This window comes from Homo sapiens, chromosome 14, assembly GCF_000001405.40.
Source record: "Homo sapiens chromosome 14, GRCh38.p14 Primary Assembly".
In the NCBI taxonomy this organism is placed as follows: domain Eukaryota; kingdom Metazoa; phylum Chordata; class Mammalia; order Primates; family Hominidae; genus Homo; species Homo sapiens.
In genome coordinates, this window is record NC_000014.9 from 70,393,618 (window position 1) to 70,416,555 (window position 22,938).

Here is a 22,938-nt window from a genome sequence, read left to right on the forward strand (position 1 = left end):
GCCATAAAAAAGAATGAGTTCATGTCCTTTGCAGGGATATGGATGAAGCTGGAAACCATCATCCTCAGCAAACTAACACAGAAACAGAAAACCAAACACTGCATGTTCTCACTCACATAAGTGGGAGCCGAACAATGAGAACACATGGACACAGGGAGGGGAACATCATACACCAGGGCCTGTCAGGGGGTGGGGGGTAAGGGGAGGGAGAGCATTAGGACAAATACCTAATGCATGCGGAGCTTAAAACCTAGATAACGGGTTGATAGTGCAGGAAACCACCATGGCACATGTATACCTATGTAACAAACCTGCACGTTCAGCACATGTATCTCAGAACTTAAAATTAAAAAAAAAAAAAAAGATTTGAAACCAAAGGAAAAAAAAAAGATCCTTAATAATATATTCTTAGTTTTTCATTAACTCACAGGAAAAGTCTGACCACCCATGAGACAGAAACCTATTACAGCTATTTACAAGGTAACCAGGCTTGTAAAAATATAAAAATGTAAAAAAAAAGAAACATGGAGTTTTAAAATGTAATGTTCATATTCATAACACAACACCTCCCTATAAATAAAAACATACACACAAATATTAACTATTTACAAAAATGCATGCATATTTAAAGAAATATAAAGACACATTAGAGTGGGTACTTATGGGGAGAAAGATACAGGATAGAGTTTAGGTATGAAGGGTGAAAAAAGAACCTGAGAGGAACATACTGATGATAACAGTGTACTTTGGAGCTAAAGGGTATAATTAATTCAGCTCTTAGCATTTAAGGTCCAAAAGGAGTTGAGGGGAGAGGCAGGAAGAAAAAAGACTGGGATTCAACTTTTTTTTTTTTTTTTTTAGTGAATGAATGAAGAGCTTAGTGAGCTCTGGTTATAATGTGCCAACAAATTTTAAAATATGGCAAGATTAAAATGGGTTGCTGGGTGTCTATTTTGCAGTCTAAATGCAAAATAGTAAAGGTAGCATAAGAATGACACCACTATAGGATTAAGAGAGAAAGAAAGTGTGCCTAATAGAAGAACCTTGGAAAGTTAAACAAGAAATCCCTTCTTTTGAACTCCTGACTATAGGTCTGGACCCTAAGCCTGTTTAAAAGAGCAATGGCAGAAGCAACAGCTAATGTTTACCAAGACCTTATTATGTACCAAATAATATGCTATGTACTTTATATATATTATCTCATTTAATCTTCTTGACAAACACAAGTACTCATTTTTCAAAGAGTTTAAAAGGTGAGGCATGGACAGGTTAAGCAACTTTACAAAAATGTCACACAGCTCTTTGCAAAGCCAAGACTTAAGTCAGGCTGTGTGATTCCAAAGCATGAATTTTTAACCATTTTGCTACAATACATCTTTGCAGAAAATATAAACTGCTTTAAGAAAAAAAGTCTTCTAAGCATTGCTGGCTATCTTAGGAGCTAACTGGTCTCCAGGCTGGCTCTGAACAAGCAATGCTGGGATAATGGTTGTAGAACAATCTCCAAGGGTAATATATTCTAGAGGAAGAATTCACCACTATAGAGTTTTGTAACTGTTGTCAAGGTTCCTATTATTTACCTTCAGACCAGAAAAGGAAAAGCCCTTCATTTCATTCAGATTCTTATCTACAAAATCTAAAAGTTATAAAGTAAATGACCAGTGTTAACCTGTTATTCTAGAAATAACAATTCTGGACATAATTAAAATGAAACAAAATAGTTCATTAACACCAAGGATTATAGCCACTTGTTGAGTTATGAAGACTAGAGTAACAAACACCCTATTTTCCCTTTTCTTTCCCAAGATCAATCCGACTAATTTTCTCCCAGACATCAATCAAACTCCATTGGATACACAACCCCCCTGTCTGTCTTTTATGAAGACTAGAGTAACAAACACCCTATTTTCCCTTTTCTTTCCCAAGATCAATCCGACTAATTTTCTCCCAGACATCAATCAAACTCCATTGGATACACAACCCCCCTGTCTGTCTTTATCTATATCATGGTAAAATAAACTTAACATAAAATTTAACATTTTACCCATTTTTAAATGTATAATTCAGTGGCATTAAGTACCTTCACAATGTCGTATAATCATCACCACCACCTATATCTGGAACTTTTTATTCAAATAAAAACTCTATACCCACTAAAAAATAGCTCCTTATTCTCCCCTCCCCCAAACTCTGACACCATCTATTATACTTTCTGTCTATATTAATTTGTGTATTCTAGGTACCCCATATAAGTAGAATCACACAATATTTGTTATTCTGTGTCTTGTTTATATTGCTTAGCATAATGTCTTCAAGGTTCATTCACATTGCAGCACATTTCAGAATTTCATTCTTTTTTTTAAGGCTGAATTATAATCTTTTGTATGTACATACCACATTTTATTTACCTATTCATCTGGCAGAGGATATCTGTGTTGTTTCCACATTTGGCGGCTGTGAACACTGGTGTACAAATATCTGTTTTGAGTTCCTTCCTGCAATTCTTTTTTTTATTTTTTGAGATGGAGTCTTGCTCTGTCGCCCAGGCTGACCAGCAGTGGCGCGATCTCCGCTCACTGAAAGCTCCGCCTCCCAGGTTCACTCATTCTCCTGCCTCAGCCTCCTGAGTAACTGGGATTACAAGCGCCTGCCACCACGCCTGGCTAATTTTTGGTATTTTTAGTAGAGACAGGGTTTCACCATGTTAGCCAGGATGGTCTCCATCTCCTGACCTCATGATCTGCCCGCCTCAGCCTCCCAAAGTGCTGGGATTACAGGCATGACCCACCGCGCCCGGTCCCTTCTTGCAATTCTTTTGGGTATATACCTAGGAGTGGAATTGCAGAATCACATGGTAATTATATATTTAATAATTTGAGGAGGTGATAAACTTTTCCACAGTGGCTGCACCATTTTACATCCTCACAAACAATGCACAGCTACCCCAATGATATGTGTGTATGTATGTATGTATGTGTGTATATGTATGTATATATATGTATATTTATATATATATGTATGTGTATATATATATGTATGTATGTAAAATAGTCATCCTAATGGGTGTGAAGTGGTAACAAATTGTGGTTTTGATTTGCATTTCCCTAACAGCTAGTGATGTTAAATATTTTTTTCATGTGCTTATTGGCCATTGGCCATTTGTATTACCTTCTTTGGAGAAATGTCTACTCAGGTCCTTTGCTCATTTTTGAATTGGGTTGTTTTCTGTCACTAAGCTGTAAAAGTTCTTTATATATGCTGGATATTAACTTCTTAGCAAATAAATAATTGGCAAATACTATCTCCCATTCTGTGGGCTATCTTTAACTCTCCTCATAGTGTCCTTTGAAACACAAAATTTTTTACTTTTAATGAAGCCCGGTTTATCTTTTGTTTTGTTGCCTGTGCTTTTGGTATCACATCCAAGAAATCATAGCCAAATCGAAGGTATTGAAGCTTTTTCCATTCTTCTAAGAGTTTTATGGTTTTAGCTCTTACATTTAGGTATTTAATAAATTTCTAGTTAATTTTTGTACATAATGTTAAGGCAAAAATCCAACTTTCACATACTTCTGCATGTGAATATACAGTTTTCCAAACACCGTATGTTAAAAATGTGTACTCTGCTGTTATTTGATGATGTGTTCTATATATATATATACGCCTGTTAGGTCTAATTTGTTTATAGTGTTGTTCAAATCCTCTCTTTCCTTATTGATTTTCTGTTGGTTGTCCTATCCATTACTGAAAATGAGGATACTGAGGTCTAACTATTATTATAAAATGGTCTACTTCTCCAGATCAATTTTTCAACATTTGCTTGATACATTTTGGCACTCTGTTGTTTTGTTATGGGAACTTTGGGGTGTCACTTTTCTGGCAGGAGACCTCTGTGTGGCTGCTGCAGCAGGGTGGGCAGCTCCAGGTGCTGGCTCTCTGCAAGGCTACAGCTGGACCAGGCGTAGCGCGAGCAGCTTCTACAGCTGGCACTGGGGAACACGATGGCATCTGGAAGCTTGGAGATGCCAGGAACCGTAGGGTCCCAAGGAGAAAGTCACAGCCCTGGCTCAGGGAGCTCCCAGGTCTCAGATACATGAAGGGTTGCAGCTCTTCTCTCTTTCTCTTCACCCACAATGTGGCAAGCAAGGGGCATGTCTCAGCCCTGACTGTGTTACAGCTCTCTTAGCCTCACCATTCGATGGATCCTGAGTTCTTGTCCAGCAACCAGGAAGAATGAGATACACAGACAAGTGGAGTGTCAGCAAGTCAAAGAGGAGCTTTACTGAGTGACAGAACAGCTCAGAGGGGACCTGCAGGGGGCAGCTCCTTTCAGCATCCAGGGTGTGCTGATGAGTGTTCGGCTCCTAGCAGAGACAGTAGCTCTTCTCTGCTAGGGAGGTCATCCCAATGAGTGTTCAACTCTCAGCAGAGAGGGTAGCTCCTCTCTGTAGGCAGGTCATCTCAACAAGTACTCAGTTCTCAGCAGAGAGGGTAGCTCCTCTCTGGAGCTGGTCATCCCATCTTCTCTGCTGTGGCTGAACCTGGGGCATTTATGGGCCTCAGAGCAGAAGTGTATGCCGACTGGTCCATGGGCAGCCACAGACAGCCCAGAAAAGGCACCACATGTACCCATTCCAGTCTGTGGGACTAGCAGCCCAGCCCTCAGCCTTCAGGCCCACCTTGGCCTGAAGGTGGGGCCTCACCAGGGACCAACCCCCTTCCACCCAGGAGACTGTCTGCCTCCTGCCACCATCCATGGCGACCAGCCTGTTTGTGCCAAGGGGCACCTGCAGGCCAGTGCTGAGCTGCCCTCAGCACCCCCAGGATTCCCCTCATGCTTGTTGGTGCCCAAAGTCCAGAGAGGGCTGAGGCAGCAAGGGGCTGGTGTGTCAGCACTGCCCTAAGTGTGTACACACTGGGCCGGGCTTTGACAGCACTCAGATTGGCCCAAACCCTGCACTGAGATCAGAGCAGGCACTGGGAGCAGGGAGAGGCCAGGCAGCAGGAAAAGACACCCCTGAGCCTGTGGGTGCAGGGGGAACCTTCCTGGGCCCCTGAGGGTGAAGAGTGCAGAAATGCCTAGGTCTTTGCACCTGGGAGGGCAGAGCTCTCATCTGCTCCATGAAGTGTGCAGCCAGCACTAGCTGTGCCTCCTCACAGCCTGGGGTGGGGGCTCCAGGTCCTCATTGGGCCGGGGCAAATATTCAGAGCAGGAGTGACATCACCACAAGCTCCCTGCTGTCGCCCTGGCGCTGAGGGGTGGCCTGGGACTCACTGTCGCTTGGCTCACAGCCCTGCCTATAGGGGGCCTCTAGGAGCAGATAGGGGGCCTCCAGGAGCAGATAGTGGGCCCCAGTCCTGGCCATCACAAGTGTCAGGCTCGGAAGTCACCCAGATGCAGGGTGGACCCCGGGGATGCGGCCCCGCGGAGGCTGCTCCCAAGGTGCAAGAACCCACTGCAGTGCCCGTGGTGGGTGGGTGTGGTGGGTGCTCCGCTGGCCAGGTCCCCAAAGCAGGCGCCGCTCCCACTTCCCACCCTGGGGCCCCAACGTGCGGCCCCAGCTCTGCACCCCTGGCCCAGCCCCCATGCTCTGTGTAGAAGCGTGGCACTGCCCCAGGCCCACCCTGGCCTCACGGCCCCTCTCTGCTCGACCACACTGCTCACCTGCTGGCGCCCATCTCGGCCTCGCCCCATAGCGCAGCCCCCAGGGCAGCAGGCTCCAGTGGGGTTCCTGCTTGTCCCTGGCTCCCACTGGCTCCATGGAGCAAGGCACTGCCCGGGGCCCAGCCCTGCCTCCTCCCCACACTCTCCCTGCAGTGGCAGCAGGCAAGAGAGGCAATGCAGGGCCAGGGTCTGGAGCAACAGAGGCTCCGGACCTGGGGATGGGTCCTGCCTGGCCATGTGAGGGTGGGGGACACACAGTTGGCTGCCTCAGGGACGCAAGGCATAGGGGACCCACCACTGCCATTGCTGCTCCCGCAGCCACTCCTGCTGTCACTGCCCACGCCTCCCCGCTGCAGCCAGTGTGATGGCACTGCCATGAATTCCCCCTCTGAAGAGGAACATCTAACTGCTGTTAAGATAGGGACGATGACTGCTCTTAACTGCTTCATGCTGACAGAGGGTGTTAATTTGTGGAAAACAGGAGATTTTCTCTCAGGATCCTATCTAAGGGTCAGCTTCATGCTGATTGGTGTTGTTTTGGGGAAAACAGCAGATTTCCTCTCAGGGTCCTACCTAAGGGTCCCCAGTAAAAGGGAGCCATCATCCGAGGCTCCATTTCCATGACCATTTGGAGTTTGACAGCCCACCCCTTTTATTTCTTTTGAGCTGCAGTCAGAGATCACTGGTTGGTTCACCCCTACAATTGTCAAAAGCTGCAAAAAAGAGAAAAGTTTCCTTGACTCTGAAATACAAAACAAATGAGCAGCAATGTTCCAAGCAAAAAGTCAAAAAGGATTATTTCAGTCTTCCATTAGTTCAGATCACTCAGTCAACTCCTGTTCACAATCTCCAAAGTTATCAGAAACCTGTACTCAAGGACTATAATCCATCTTTTGAAGAGGATCAAAACAAGACAACAATTGTCTGTGAATGCCAAAATATCCTAAGGTCGTTTCATTCAAAAACACAAATGACTAAGAAATTTGGTAACCTCTGTGGATTACAATAACCCAATACGATAACCCTAATTATGATTGACAGCATATACTCAGACATTTGGATTTTTGAAGTCCCATACAATTTTGGAACATACACAAGTATTATTCACCAAAATATAACCTGAAGAAGACTAAACCCTATCTTTATCTTGACAATCCCTTTACAAATTTTTGTTAAAGAGTAGAACAGTGCCTTTAGAAACCCTTGTGGTTTTATTCCCAAGTTCACTTTATAAAAAAAAACAAACAATACCCTTTTGAATTTAGTATTCCCACACAGAATTTTGTTTTTAAGATTAACCTTTACAAATCTTCCACAACTTGTTTAAACATTTAGCTTTATCTTACCTAATTTAAAACAATCATTTAACCCCCTAAACTAGGCAAAAATGTATATTCCCATGCCTTCTTATACTTTTACTAAAGACACGTTTTACATTCTTTACACACCTTGCATGTAAATCTATCCTCAGTAGTCTCAATTACATGTTATAATGGTAACTGTTAGCAATTCTTAATTTTGATGAAAAATCTGGTAAGTTATTTTAATTATTTACTTAGATGCTGATAAGGTCTATTTCTAACATAGCTAGGGGTGTGGCATATGTTCCCCAGCCTTACCAAACTGTAAAGCAGGCAAGTTGAAGAATTTTCAAAAGCCAAAGAAGCAGTTTATGACTTTTGAAAAGTCCGTAAATTATGAAAAATTAAGCTTCAAAATTCGAGTGCTCTTTTTAGAAACACCAGCATGACTTATATATAACACTTATGGGACATCCTCTTGTAAATATCTAGGAAAGTGGACTCACTTAACTTGGGATGCTGATAAGCAGCAACAGCCAAAACAGGGATCCTCTGAAATGTATAAAATAATTCATTTGCAAGCACAAGAGGGAAAAAAAAAGCTGGTTTTAGAACCGTACAAACTGAATGAGAGACCTACTTTATAATTGTCTTGGTTAAAATCTGATAATAAGAGATTTGAAAAGATTATTTTTTAGAGTTCTCTGGTCAGAAGTCAGCTTACTTAGGGCTGGGCATGGCAGCTCACACACCTGTAATCCTAGCACTTTGGGAGGCCAAGGAGAGAGGATCACTTCAGGCCAGGAGTTTGAGACCAGCCTGGGCAATGTATTTTTTTTTAATAAAAGAAAAAAAGCTTAATTAAAAGTAATATTTAGGCTATCTTTTGTGGGGGGGAAAGGACTTTCTGCTTTTTTCCTCTCTTGGATCCTGGTTCTTGGCTTTTTTTTTTTTTTTCAGTCAATTGAGACCCCTTTTTAAATATGTTTGATACCTTGAGTCTTCTGTTTGTTTCCAATCTTGCTGGCATAATTTTTGCTGAGAAAAATATAAAACTTCACTGGCCTTTTACAAAATTTAAAATCTCCAGGCTCTTGCTCTGTTGCCCAGGCTGGAGTGCAGTGGCACAGCTCACTGCAGCCTCAATCGCCCAGGCTCAAGTGATTCTCCCACCTCAGCCTCCCAAATAGCTCGGACTACAGGAGCACACCACCACACCCAGCTAATGTTTTTCTTTTCTTTTTTTATGTAGAGACAGGGTCTTGCTATTTTGCCCAGGCTGGTCTCAAACTCCTAGCTCAAGTGAACCTACCACCTCCGCCTCCCAAACAGTTAGGCTTACAAGCATGAGCCACTGTTCCTGGCTAAACTTGTTCTATTTCTTTCCACTCTGCTCTTCCTTCCTTTTGTTATTTTGATACCACAGGAAGAAATCTAAAGGAGACTTCTAACGACTCAGACCCCTCAAGGAACGCTGAAAAAACACACCATTCACTCCCTTTTTGGGGTATTCTGTCTTCTTGTGGAGTCTGAAAAGTCATGGACAGGTTCCTCTCAGGTCTAAAACTCTGCTCTCTTCCATACTGCATTACTTGTTGGCTTTTGAGAGTACCAGAGATTACTTTGTACTGTGAAAGAGACCTTTGTGTATGTTATGGCTGGTAAGTCACTGACAAGAGCTACAGTATTGGAGGTGACTAACAGCAGTTGTTTATGGTGAATGGTTATTACTATAGGCAGCTACTCATTTTATTTTATTTTTTAAACATTTAGGTAAGAAAGGTGTGGCTTAATGTCTTTGTAGTGAGGTGCGCTGTGGAGGTTTGTGTGGCCTGGTATCATGGCATTTTGCTCTTTGTGGAGACCCAAGATTCACGTAAAAGTGGTTTCCTTGATTTTTAAAGATCCAGATGCACTGCCCTGCAAATCTGCCTGGTTTTTAGACACTTAATATCAGGCCCTGAGGCAGTCCTCACTGGGACAACAGGTGGTGCACCTGTAGTCCCAGGGAGGCTGAAGTGGGAGGATCACTTGGGTCCAGGAGCTCAAGACCAGCCTGGGTAACATAATGAAAGCCTGCTTTAAAAAAAAAAAAAGAAAGAAATTTTTAAAATATATATCTATTAGGCCCTGGAAACTGCAAATACTTTCCTGGTCCCATTCATGAAAGGGCTCCACTTTGAAGTCAGTAATCTAATCAAGAAACGAACTAAGTATCTAACAAGATTATAGTCTCCAAAATACAACTTTCTAGCACTTAGCTGGCTACTTTGAAACTCTATGTAAAATAAATTTACTTCTATAAAGGAAATCTCCATTTGTAAGGACATGCCCCTATACCCAAGCAGCTAGAAATTTTTACAATGGGAAAGACACTGGCTTAAAGTTGACATAACAAACCTTACCTATGTTTAAAGATACTTTTCCTGGCAATCTTATCTTGACTGATTCTTTTTGTTTCAGCAAATAATGGTATATAGATATAAGTTCTATGCCTCTAGGGGTATCAATTTTCACCTAAGAGTAATGTTTGCAATTTAGGGTTACCTAGCTAAACAACTGTTTAGGGCAATGGAATAAGTAATCAAGGAACTGGTAGTCTAAACAGGGAGAGATTATCTGCAAACTGGCAAATGAAGAATCTTATAAAGCTATAAGATCTGTTTCTGTCACTGTGTCTGTATGTCTCTATGTTTATGTGTCATGTGTATGTGATACTTCACTACCAAAATACATGAAAACATTCTAATGAATTTGTCAGAGGCGTTTAAACCAGAGCAACTCCATCTTGAATAGGAGCTAGGTAAAATAAGGTTGCTGGGCTGCATTCCCAGTAAGTTAAGGGATTCTTAGTCATGGCGTGAAAAAGAAGTTTGGCACGAGATACAGGTCATGAAAAACTTGCTGATAAAACAGGCTGCTGTAAAGAAGCTGGCCAAAAGCCACCAAGATGGTGATGAGAGTGACCTCTGGTGGTCCTCACTGCTACACTCCCACCAGCGCCAAGACAGTTTACAAATGCCATGGCAATGTCAGGAAATTACCCTATATGGTCTAAAAAGGGGAGGCATAAATAATCCACCCCTTGTTTAGCATATAATCAACAAATAGCCATAAAAATGGGCAACCAGCAGCTCTCAGGGCTGCTCTGCCTATGGATTAGACATTCTTTTATTTGTTTACTTTCTTAATAAACTTGTTTTCACTTTATGGACTGCCTCAAATTCTTTCTTGCGTGAGATCCAAGAACCCTCTCTTCGGGTCTGGATCAGGACCCCTTTCCAGTAACAAAATGGCTTTAAAGGTAAGCACTTAAATCAAGTATTTTATCAGAAATATAGAAAGTAACTCAAATGCCTTTTAGTTCACATTACAAAAATAAGACTACTTTGTTGGTTTAATGAAAATGGCTGTTTCTTCTGATCAGCAAAATATGCATGTATGTAACGTCAGGGTTTCTTTCACAAGCTGTGGAAACTATTAACAAAGAAATAACTTGAGGCCAGGCATGGTAGCTAACATCCATAAGGCCAGGAGCTCAAGACCAGCCTAAGCAACTGGCAAGATCCTGTCTCTACAAAAATGAAAAATTAAAAAAAAAAATTAGCAGGGCATGGTGGTGCACTACTGTAGGCCTGGAGTGAGCCATAATAGCACCACTCTACTCCAGCCTAGGTGACCGGGCAAGACCCTGTCTTAAAGACAAACACAAAAAAATAAGTAACTTGGGATGACGGCCAGCTTTGTTTAATGATCTATACAAGTCTAACTTTTAAAAATGAATAAATTAAATGAATATAAATGGTATAAAAGTGTATAAGCAAGTTTTTCATAATTTTAAGAATCTTTTTCAGAAACTTAAAATCATGTTATGCTAAATTAAGTAACAGATAATTATAAAATGTCTGAGTCATTTACATGGTATAGAAAAGCTAAATATATTTAGATCTGTTAACAAACAGATTGAGAAGGTTATCTTTCTAGAAATTATGAAATGGTTCTATCTACAAATACTGGTATAAAACTGTTCAAAATTACCTTACTTCCTAGGTTCTTCACTGGAAATTAGGGTTACTAAGAGTTAAAGTTACCGTCAATATATACAATTAAAACTACTGAACACAAGAGAAACAATTCTAAATACAGTGCATATAAAGAAAGTAAGATGTGAAGAAAGTTGACAATAGAGATCACTTTTCTTTACATGGTAACTTTGTGTGGACAAAATAAGGAGGAAAGAAATGTAAATTAAATAAGGAGGGCCAGGTATAGCGGTTCACGCCTGTAATTCCAGCACTTTGGGAGGCTGAAGTGGGTGGATTGCTTGAGTACAGGAGTTCAAGAACAACCTGGGCAACATGGCAAAACCCCATCTCTACAAAAAATACAAAAAATTATCTGGGTGTGGTGGTGTGTGCCTGTAGTCCCAGCTATTCAGGAGGCTAAAGTGAGAGGATCATCAAAGCCCAGGAGGATGAGGCTGCAGTAAGCTGTAATCACACCACTGCACTTCAAGTTGTGTGACAGGGTGAGACCCTGTCAGTCAATCAATCAATCAAATCAATCAATGATAGGAAAGAAGGAAATGTAAATTTCTGTCTTAAGGTAGAATGCCAATATCAGAAAGTCAGTATAGGACAAAACTAAAGATTTAAACAGGTTGTAGAATGTCTACGGAAAAAAATAAATGAATGAATGAATGATAATGGGGAAATAAATGTATAATAAATTTCTGTCCTAAGGTAGAATGCCAATATCAAAAAGGAAGTATAGGACAAAACTGAAGGTTTGAACAGGTTGTATTAGGTTGGTGCAAAAGTAATGGCAAAAACTGCAATTACTTTTGCACCAACCTAATAGAAGTTTTGTGGAACATGAATCTTATGAATTTTGTGAGTGATCAAGTTGGCTAAAATTAGAAGGGGATTATTTCACTTTTTAAAAAACTGAGCATCAAAATCAAAATTGAGCATTAATATCAAAAGCACACTGATGCAAGGCCAGACTCAAAATAATGGGTTTTGGGGGCCACTGATCTGCTCTTTAATAGATTAAAAAAGGGTTATGGGAATCTTGTGTGTTCAAAGCTGATTGAGATTAGATGGATTTGTTTATTAAAGTTAGCTTTAGCATTAACAACATACTGATGCAAAGGTAGAATATGGTTCTCTCTTTTAAACAATATTTTCATATACTAAGAGATAATAAAAGACTTGTTCACCTTTTGAGTAATCTACAAAAATAAAAAGAGAAAAAGATGTGTTGGTCTTGTGCTGTCTTTATTAGGTCTTTTGATTGTTTGGGAAACCAAGTCTCCTTTCTATTCAAGAGTAAAGGTCTTTGCTTTCAATTATCACCTTGACTTAATTAATGACTATTATTTATTGTGTCTTGTGATCCTGTTTAGATTAAGTGTTTTCAACCTGCATTATTTGACATGCTTTCCAAAACTAAATTTCAAATTCTAACTTTAACCCTTTTCCAAAAGGAACCCCTGGAAGTCCAACAGATACGTATTAGGCTTATATGTTAAAATCATATTGTTATAGTAGGTAGCCAGTCAGGCATAAGCAGGGCAGGAGGGGGCCTACCACCACACACACACACCAGGAACGTCAGGTTACCTTTGCAGAATAACACACCCAACAACTACAAAATAAACTTTATATTTAAAATGCTTATGAAACTGCCTTTCCAAAAATTGTAACTGAGAAAATTATGATGGTGAAAGAGATCTGACCTAACTGACTCCATCTTGCTTCTAATCTCCAATTGTCCTTGTTCATTCCTGGGTGTAGGCCAAACTAACTTTGGGAGGAACTTAGCTTACAGTTTAACTTTGAAACAAAGATAACAGCCCTTTGCTGAAATAAACCCCCTTCTTGCTTGGGGACTATACTGCCGTTGCAGGACTAACAAATTAGCCACAAGATTAGAAATTATGATTTAGGAGTCATGCAGCTGGAGGCTGCAAGATTCTGAACTTCCCCGAATTGCTCCAGGGGATAACATCGCGATTGTAAAACCTAAGATCAGTGCTTCTGATATTTTGCAGACCCTGCACTCAATGGATCAGGCAGCACCACTTAGATCTATAAACTAACTCATCTAGTCTTTGTAGTGCCCACCCAAGAAACAACACAGCACAAGAGGACAGCTTCAACTCCCCATGATTTCTTCTCTGACCTGACCAATCAGTGATCCCCACTTTCCAACCCCCCACCTGACAAATTATCCTTAAAAACCCTGATCCCTGAGTTTTCAGGGAGACTGATAATAAAACTCCAGTCTCCTGTACAGCTAGCGCTGTGTGAATGAAACTCTTTCTCTATTGCAATTCCCTTGCCTTGATAAATTGGCTCAGTCTAGGCAGCGAGCAAGAAGAACCCATTGGGTGATTACACCTGCACTTCATTGAATGTGAATCATGCCTCAAAAAAGTTGAGATGAACCTGGTGATTATGTACAAAAATGCAAGCATTTTAAACATTTATTAATGACTCCTACTTATTAGGTTGGTGCAAAAGTAATTGCAGTTTTTGCTATAAAAAATGGCAAAAACCGGCCAGGTGCGGTGGCTCACACCTGTACTCCTAGCACTTTGGGAGGCCGAGGCAGGTGGATCATGAAGTCAGAAGATCACAACCATCCTGACTAACATGGTGAAACCATGTCTCTACTAAAAATACAAAAAATTAGCCAGGCATAGTGGCAGGCGCCTGTAGTCCCAGCTACTTGGGAGGCTGAGGCAGGAGAATGGCGTGATCTCCTGGGAGGCGGAGCTTGCAGTGAGCCGAGATTGTGCCACTGCACTCCAGCCTGGGCAACAGAGCGAGACTCCGTCTCAAAAAAAAAAAAAAAAATGGCAAAAACCACAATTACTTCTGCACCAACTTAGTCAATAATAAAAGGCTAAAGTTTCTCAAAGCACCAATTTTGTGTTAATTAAGCAAAAAAAAAATTTGTTATAGTATCCTCCTTACAGTAGACTTTTTCTACTATTTCCTATGCAAATATGATAAAATGATTTTTAAATAAATTCTAAGTATATCCCCAAGATAAAATCAAAGTAAAAAAAAAAACATAGAAGATGAAGTTTAAACTCAAAATCACCATAATCTACCTTTCTAGCCATCTTTGGACATTCTCTACTTTGCATTATACAGTAAACAAAATTTAATATTTGCTATCGCTTTTCACCCTATCATCCCCGCCCACAGCTACTGCTTATCTCCGTGACTTTGGATGTCTTCTTCCCTTTGCCTGAAAACATGAAATTACTTGTTTAATTGTCTCATTACCCTATTGCAATATTCGTTCCTAGAAGACAATGTAATTAGCTTATATTCATTTTTGTACCTCCTGTGCCAATATAGTACCTAGTACATACACAAAGCCCAACTGGTGTCAATTGACTATTATTGGAATTGAAAATTACACCTAGGTCAGGAATTTCTAACATTTCCAGTTCTAGGGAAATCTCACAAGGTTAAAAATGTTTCTGGGAGCTTCTAACAGGTTTTTTTTTTTTTTGGAGGAGGGGGAAGGACTATTGCAGTAATAGGGTTTTTTTATAAACTAAGGCATAAAAGGAGGGAAAAAGAGAAACAGAAGCCCCATATCCCTGAAATTACTGACACAGCTTACCCTACCCTTCCTAGATGACTCAATTCTTGCCCCATAAAGTCTACTCCCCACATAGCAGTATCCTTAAAGCACTTCAATGAATTAAATGAGTTGTTTTGTGGTAAAGTGCTTAAGACAGTACAGAATCGTCACTACAAATTATTTATAAAACAAAAATCGGACAGGCGTGGTGGCTTATACCTGTAATCCCAACACTTTGGGAGGCCGAGATGGGTGGATCACCTGAGATCAGGAGTTAGAAACCAGCCTGGCCAACATGGTGAAACCCCATCTCTACTAAAAATACAGAAAAATTAGCCAGGTGTGGTAGCGGGCGCCTGTAATCCCAGCTACTTGGGAGGCTGAGGCGGGAGAATCGCTTGAACCCGGGAGGCAGAGGTTGCAGTGTGCTGAGACTGCGCCACTGCACTCCAGCCTGGGCAACAAGAACAAAACTCCGTCTCAAAAAAAAAAAAAATCATTGAATCCTCACAACTCTATAAGTAGATTCTAATAATACTCTCATATTATAGCTGAGGAAACTGGGGCAGATAGAAGTGAGGTGACTTGCACAAGGTCACACAGTGAGTGAGTGATAGAGTAAGGATTTGAACTCAAGCATTCTGGCACTTTTTCTTTTTTGAGACTGAGTCTCGCTGTATCGCCCAGGCTGGAATGCAGTGGTACGATCTCAGGTCACTGCAACCTTCACCTCCTAGGTTCAAGCAATTCTCCTGCCTCAGCCTCCCAAGTAGCTAGGACTACAACAACCTCGAACTCCTGGGCTCAAGCAATTCTTCCACTTCAGCCTCCCAAGTAGCTAGGACTACAAGCATGCACCACCAAACACAGCTAATGTTTTGTTTTGTTTTGCTTTGTTTTGTTGGCAGAGATGGGAGTCTTGCTATGTTGCCCAGGCTGGTCTTGAACTTCTGGCCTCAAGCAGTCCTCCTCCTTGATCTCCCAAAGTGCTCGGATTACAGGCAAGAGCCACAATGCCTGGCTTGAACTGCAAAATTCTTAAAAATGGGGATCATTTCTTATTCTTTATTCTAGTGTCCATGATTCCTAATCATAGTGTAGGCACATAATAAATGCTAAATAAATTTTAAAAAATAGTTTTACTTTACTTTTCAGTCTTCTGAAACCAGCAGTTCTGACCCTATCATCTAAGTATAGTTTGGCTATTTTTCCCTCAATAAATAATTGTGTACTTATCACATGTAATCATTGACCACTTTTCTGGCTAGTCACATGGCTTCGCAAAATGTTTCTGCAGTTGAACATCTATCAGCTTGCCTTTCTATTTCCCCAAAGTAATTCCTAGATATTTTACTGTACAGTTTTTCTTTAGTATTGTTTTGAAAAGATCTTAATACTGATCCTTGAAGCAATCTTTAGAGAACTGTTCCATTTACCTGACTCTCTCCAAGAGGTGTTCCATCTACTCCTTCTCCTTGTTTCTGATATCTTAGCCAGTTTCCTATCCATCATAATACAATGTGTCCATCCTCATTCTCTCTTTCTCAAATTGTATTTAGTGAAGAACCATGTTTACCACTTTTTGAAAGCTGAAACAGATCATGTTACTGCTTCTCTTTATTTAAAACATCCCATTATGGCAGGCACAGTGGCTCATGCCTGGAATCGCAGCACTGTGGGAGGCTGAGGTGGAGGATCACTTGAGCCCAGGAGTCCAAGGCATGACTGGGCAACATAGTGAGATCTCGTCTCTACAAATAATTAAAAAAAAAAAAAATTAGTCAAGTGTGGTGGTGCATGTCTGTAGTCCCAGCTACTCAGGAAGCTGAGGCAGGAGGACCACCTGAGCCCAAGAGGTCGAGGCTGCAGTGAACTGTCATAGTGCCACTGTACTCCAGACTGGGGGACAGAGCAAGACCCTGTCTCAAAAATAAATAAGTACATTGGGTGTGGTGGCTCACGCCTGTAATCCCAGCACTTTAGGAGGCCGAGGTGGGTGAATAACTTGAGCTCAGGAGTTGGAGACCAGCCTGGGCAACATGGTGAAACCCCGTCTCTATGAAAAATATGGCTAATAAAAACATTAATCAGGTGTGGTGACACACACCTGTAGTCCCAGCTACTTGAGGGGCTGAGACAAGAGGATCACTTGTACTCAGGAGGTCAAGGCTGCAGTGAGCCAAGATCGTGCCACTGCACTCCAGCCTCGGTGACAAAGTAAGACCCTATGTCATAAATAAATAAATATAAAAACATTCCATTATATTATTATGATATCTATCAGTTTGCTCAGTCATTTAATGAACACTTACTGACCACTGTGTGTCATGCACTAGACAAAGCATTAAAAAAACATTAAAGACACATGCATGCATGTGTTCACTGCAGCACTATCCATAACAGCAAAGAGATCGAATCAACCTAAATGCCCATCAATGGTAGACTGGACAAAGAAAATGTGGTGCATATACACCATGGAATACTTTGCAGCCATGAAAAAGAACAAGATCATGTCATTCGCAGGAACGTGGATGCAGCTGGAGGCCATTATCCTTAGCAAACTAACAAAGGAAGAGAAAACCAAATACCACATGTTCTCACTTATAAGTGGGAGCTAAATAATAACACATAGACACACAGAGGAGAACAGACACTGGGGCCTACTTAGGGTGGAGGTTGAGAGGAAAGAATCAGGAAAAATAACTAATGGGTACTAGGCTTAATACCTGGGTGACGAAAAAATCTGTAGAACAAACCCACATGACACTGTTTACCTATATAACAAACCTATACATGTACCCCTGAACCTAAAATAATAGTTAAATGAAAGAAAATAAGAAATAAAATATATGTTCTTTGACTCAGAAGAGCTCAAAGTGAAGTAGAAGGAGGAGACATAAGTGAGAAAGCATATAGAAAAAAAAAGTTATTTATAATGATTCAGGGCTTGGAATTTTAAGTCACACAGACCTGGATCGAAATCTTCACTTAAAGAGTTGTATAATGCAGAAGTCAAGGTTTCCTCATTTCTGAAATGGGGATAATAACCATTTCATCTCTTCCTTTTTACAAGGGGACAAGATACAGTGCTTAGCTTGGCAATACATGGGAATACATTACAGGCAATCTGTAAATGATGTATAATATAGACAATAAGAGAACATCTATCCTAGGTAAAGCCTGCTTCCTGGAGGAGCTAACTGTTGAACTGAGTCCTAATCAATGGCTAGGAAGTAGAAAGAATCCAGATAGAACTTTAGAGAAAGATTAAGTTTCCATACTAACACTAAAGACTCCATAATCTGATCTCCACCTACTCAGGTTACTACTCAGCTACCTCTTCTCTCTTGAATCTCCTAAAGGAAACTTTCCTTCTGTCCAGGCTGGTTTACTCACTAACCTCAGAATATGCTCTGCTTATTTTCTTCTCTCTATTATTGCTTAGGCCATACTCATCCCTGACTCTGGCCCTAGCCTAAAGCCTGTCCATTCCAGAAGACCCACAAGTTCCACGTTCTTTTAATTGACCATTTTAATGGTTCTCAGCAGTGTCTGCATTCTTGAACTTTCCCAACACAGGGTCAGATTACCATGCTCCTTTCCGCACTTCCTTTGCCCTCCCACTAACTACCTCCTCATCATTTTCCTTAACTATCTGCACCTTTGCAGTGAGATTTAATTTTTCATATGTGAACATCATATCTCTATTGGATTGTAAACTCCATGAAGGCGAGACTTTGTGTAAGCAAGAGAAAATAGGGCAAGGATATAGCATTTAGCCTCACATCTATTTGATATGTGAAGAAAGGAATAGATCAGAAAACTGCTAGCAACAGTTTCAGTTAGCATGAAACCCAAAGCCTATGACAGGTCTACAAGGCTTAAATGATAGAACTTAATGGGGCATCTTGATTTTAGGTACTCACCTTGATATGCCCTCAGCTCTATCAAGAGCAAGCAATAAAAACTTTCCACTGTAGGTTGTATTAGTCATTTAAGATGCCTCAAATGCTTCTGGGAATAAGGCATGATATAATAAAATAAAGGTCAGGGGAAAGGTTGGCAGTCAACTTCTTAAACATGGCTACTGCAGTGGAAAGTAGTATATGGTATAGCAGAATTAACACACCTGGGTTAAAAATCCTTTGAAATTTACTGGCATTAGAAACTGGGCAAGTCCTTAACCTCCCCAAGGCAATTTCCCAATCTAATAATGTGGATTAAATATTTATTACTCAGGGTTGCTGTGAAGATTAAATGAGTATGTATGTATGTATAGTATATATACAGTATATATATGTATGTATAGTATATATACAGTATATATACAGTATATATGTATGTATAGTATATATACAGTATATATATGTATGTATAGTATATATACAGTATATATATGTATGTATAGTATATATACAGTATATATATGTATATATAGTAACTAGCACACTACCGGAAAGACAATACCTCCTTTAGTATTCATTATTAAAACACTGCCATCAACCCATCATCTTTTCCAAGGCCTTTAAAGAAAGTAAGAAAATAAATATTCTCTTCCCTCTTTAAAGATGGCATATCAGGAGTAACTTGCTGAAACCCATTGAGGACTCGGACCTAAAAACAAGATTCCTAATCATAGTACTCAATGTACAGTAAGGTTGTCTTTATGGCCAATCTCTTACCTGTTGCAGTGCAAAAAAACATATTAAACAGTCTTGTCACACTTTTTAGAGTAACTGAGTTTTGAGACGCATTAAGAGACTTTCAATTTGATAAAGAAAAAGTGAGAGCCTTAGATACTATAATCAAGCTGGACTCCTGTAGAAAAAAACAAGATTCCACTAAAGATAAAAGGTAAACTGTTCAACCCTTGAAGACATTTGAGATTGTAGCCACTGCCTTTGTAATTCTTCAGCTCATACTATTAGTCTAAAATGGCAGGAAATAAAAACAAAACGAAGTTCCAAATGGTAGGAAACATAAAATAACATAAATAATCATAAAATGAGCCAAAGAATGAACTCTTAGAGATGGAAGAGACCTCTGAAGTCATCTAGCCCAAGTCCCTTCTTACAGTTGAGAAAGCAGACAACAGGAGAGATTCCATGCTATTAGGTTGGTGCAAAAGTAATTGCGGTTCTGCCATTGAAAGTAGTGGTACTTATGGCTGGGCGGGGTGGCTCACGCCTGTAATCCCAAAACTTTGGGAGGCCAAGGCAGGTGGATCACTTGAGGTCAGGAGTTTAAGACCAGCCTGGTCAACGTGGTGAAACCCTGTCTCTACTAAAAATACAAAAATTACCCGGGCATGGTGGCAAATGCCTGTAATCCCAGCTACACAGGAGGCTGAGGCAGGTGAATTGCTTGAACCTGGGAGGCAGAGGTTGCAGTGAGACAAGATCGTGCCACTGCACTCCACCCTGGTGACAGAGTGAGACGCGTCTCAAAAAAAAGAAGAACAAAAGAAAGTAATTGTACTTTTGCACCAACCTAATACATGTCAAGCTTCTTTTGCCTCTTCACTCTGTTGTCATAATTTCCCCAAGATTTCATTACTTCCCTTGCAGTAAGCAGATCAGTCAGGAACAGGTTCGACTGCCTTATAATATGGGCCCAAACACTGGAAATATCCACAATTCTTGTCCCTGACAGAACACAAAGGGGGAATGGTACACATGTTCTCGGATCTGATTAAACATCAGGTTCCTGAGTACACAGCTATACAAACACAAAGAGTGGGCAATGCTGCCTACAAAAGAAATGCATACTTAGAGGATTTTCATATTTCTTCCATAGATAGAAAGATCCTTATGGGACCATCAAAATTATGTGGAAGTTTCTAGTGGTGATTAGTTTCTAGTGGTATTTTGAGACAGTCTCCTCCCTATATATCTTCATGATGATACCATGAAGAAAAGCTGAATTAGACCCTGAGAAGAAGAGTATCACATACTAGGAAACCAGTTCTGGTAAGTGATTAACATGAACTTGAAACCTTTCTTTGTTAACTGAACCAACCAAATTTCAAATGACTGTTTTCACCCAAGTTCATTCCTAAACTTGAGGCTTTACTCTCCCAGTAAGTTCACTGACTTATATAATTAATACATGGAAATGCTTATGAAAATTTAGGAAGCCACTGAGTGAATAAATACATTCATTTGTAATAAATATGTGATACAGAAATCAAACCATTTTTGGGTGAAATATATTAGCTAGATATAATTATTCCCTTTAATTAGTCCTTGAAGCTTGTCCGAATGCCAATGTTTTGGGAAAATACTAACACTAGGAAATTTATGACTACAAATGCCAAAAAAGATGAAGTGATATTATACTGAATTTTAAAAAGATTTCATCTTTAGAACAAGAGATAATATCAGGGTCCTGCTCTGCTTTAGACAGGAGATCTGAAAATACTTTGGATGCCAGAGCAAAAGGACTATGTCAAAGTACATTAAATTCTTAAGCAAAAGGCAAGAATCAAATCTCAAACATCTCAAGAGGTAGTAAAATAACCGAAGATATTTAGGATAAAGAAGAAAGAGGCAAAACAGGAGCAGAACAACTAGAGCCTTTAAATAAATACTTGCACAGCAATCAGAAAAGGAACTAGCATTGTTTTAATTGGTCCTAAGAGAACAAGTTATCAATGGATGAAAAGTACAAAAAAACAGATTTTGATTGAAAAGTAACTTTCTATGTTAGCCTCAAAAGTCAATAAATATTAACAGTGAGTGAAGGATACATTTATATAAAATAGCAAAAAAATGAATCCAAGAAACTTGGGCATACCAAATGAGCCTTTGACAAAAGTTTAGGCGCACATATGGAGCATGACACTAATCCATTAAGATTAGTGATAGGCCAGGCATGATGGCTCATGACTGTAATCCCAGCACTTTGGAAGGCCAAGGCAGGAGGACTGCCTGAGTTCAGGAGTTCAAGACCAGCCTGGGCAACAAAGTGAGACCTCGTCTCTAAAAAAAAAAAAATATTAATAATGGTATTAGTGATGAGTTATATTCCGATAAGTAAAACCAACTTCCAATTTTTAATAATAGAAAGGAAGGCAGGGCACAGTGGCTCACACCCGTAATCCCAGCACTTTGGGAGGCAGAGGTGGGTGGATCATTTAAACTCAGGAGTTTAAATGAGACCAGCCTGGGCAACGTAGTGAAACATCGTCTCTACCAAAAATACAAAAAAATTAGCCGGGCGTGGCAGTGCACACCCATGGTATCGGTTACTCAGGAGGCTGAGGTGGGAGGATTGCTTGAGCCTAAGAGGGAGAGGCTGCAGTGGGCTGAGATCGTGCCACTGCACTCTAGCCTGGGCAACAGAGTGAGACCCTGTCTCAAAAAAAAAAAAAAGAAAAGAAAAAGAAAGAAAGAAAAGAAAAGAAGACACAAAGTATGGATAATTCTGAAAGTTATATTTTATAAAGAATAATCTATCCATGATTAAGCTACTGCAGAACTGCAGATGAGAAAAGGTGATGGACTGTCCTAGGTAGTGGCAAGGGAAACAGGAGTGAAAGAATTTCAGGAACATTTCAGAGATGGAGCTCAGAGTACTTGATGATTTATTAGAGACTCTTGGAATACAGTATTAGTAGGATTTACTGTGTCAGTTTAGCTATTTATCCATTAACAGTAACAATAGTAGGAAACACATACTGTTTACCATAGGTCAAGCAATGTTGTAAACATTTTACATGGATTAACTCATTTCATTCTCACAACACTATGAAGTATATTTATAACCATCCCCATTTTAGAGATGATAAACTAAGGCTTACATCAGTTAAGTTAGCCAATAAGTATCAAGAATCAGTAAGAGGTTAGATACAAGATTTAGACCCAGATACTGTAATTCCAAAGCTAAAGAGCTCTTAATTGATCAACTAAATAGTTGTAAAGGAAAGTAAACAAAGTCGAAAGCAGGCAGAATGTAGTAATGTCAAGAGCCCGGTTTAATGAAGAGCCACAGTGGGGGAAGAGGATAGCAGTTTGGCTGCTCAAAATCACATGAGGTGTTCATAAAAAATAAATAAATAAATAAAATAAATCTGTATTAAATCCAAATCCCTGCAGATGGGAGATAAGATTTAACTTTTTATTTTCTTTTTTTTTTTTTTTTTTAAAGCCCTGGGTAATTTTGTGGCGGAACCAAGTTTGGGAACCTGTGTAATAAAAGATTTCTAAGGGCTCTTCCTGCTTTAACATTCTAGTTGACATTGTAAATGAAGTTCCCAGAAATCAAAGGAGCGAGGGAGGGATCCTAGCTGCAGGAAAACGGCTATGCATTCAGAGTCCACACCGTTTATGCTCCCATTTTACTAAACGGTCCCTCATAGGGGGA

General features: G+C 40.1%; 2 protein-coding genes across 4 annotated transcripts in view, besides 1 other annotated feature; both read right to left on the minus strand.

Annotated features, from left to right (window-relative positions):
- The window catches only part of SYNJ2BP-COX16 (SYNJ2BP-COX16 readthrough), a 92,010-nt gene that overhangs the window by 68,537 nt on the left and 535 nt on the right, over positions 1-22,938 (minus strand). The window lies entirely within an intron of this gene.
- Positions 1-22,938, minus strand: part of SYNJ2BP (synaptojanin 2 binding protein) — a 50,592-nt gene that overhangs the window by 27,119 nt on the left and 535 nt on the right. The window lies entirely within an intron of this gene.
- Positions 5,684-6,244: an enhancer, noted in NCBI's record as "H3K27ac-H3K4me1 hESC enhancer chr14:70866018-70866578 (GRCh37/hg19 assembly coordinates)". NCBI's record gives its function as "activates a minimal SCP1, AML or CMV promoter by ChIP-STARR-seq in naive H9 embryonic stem cells {active_cell/tissue: H9 hESC(naive)}" and the evidence as "EXISTENCE:reporter gene assay evidence [ECO:0000049][PMID:30033119]".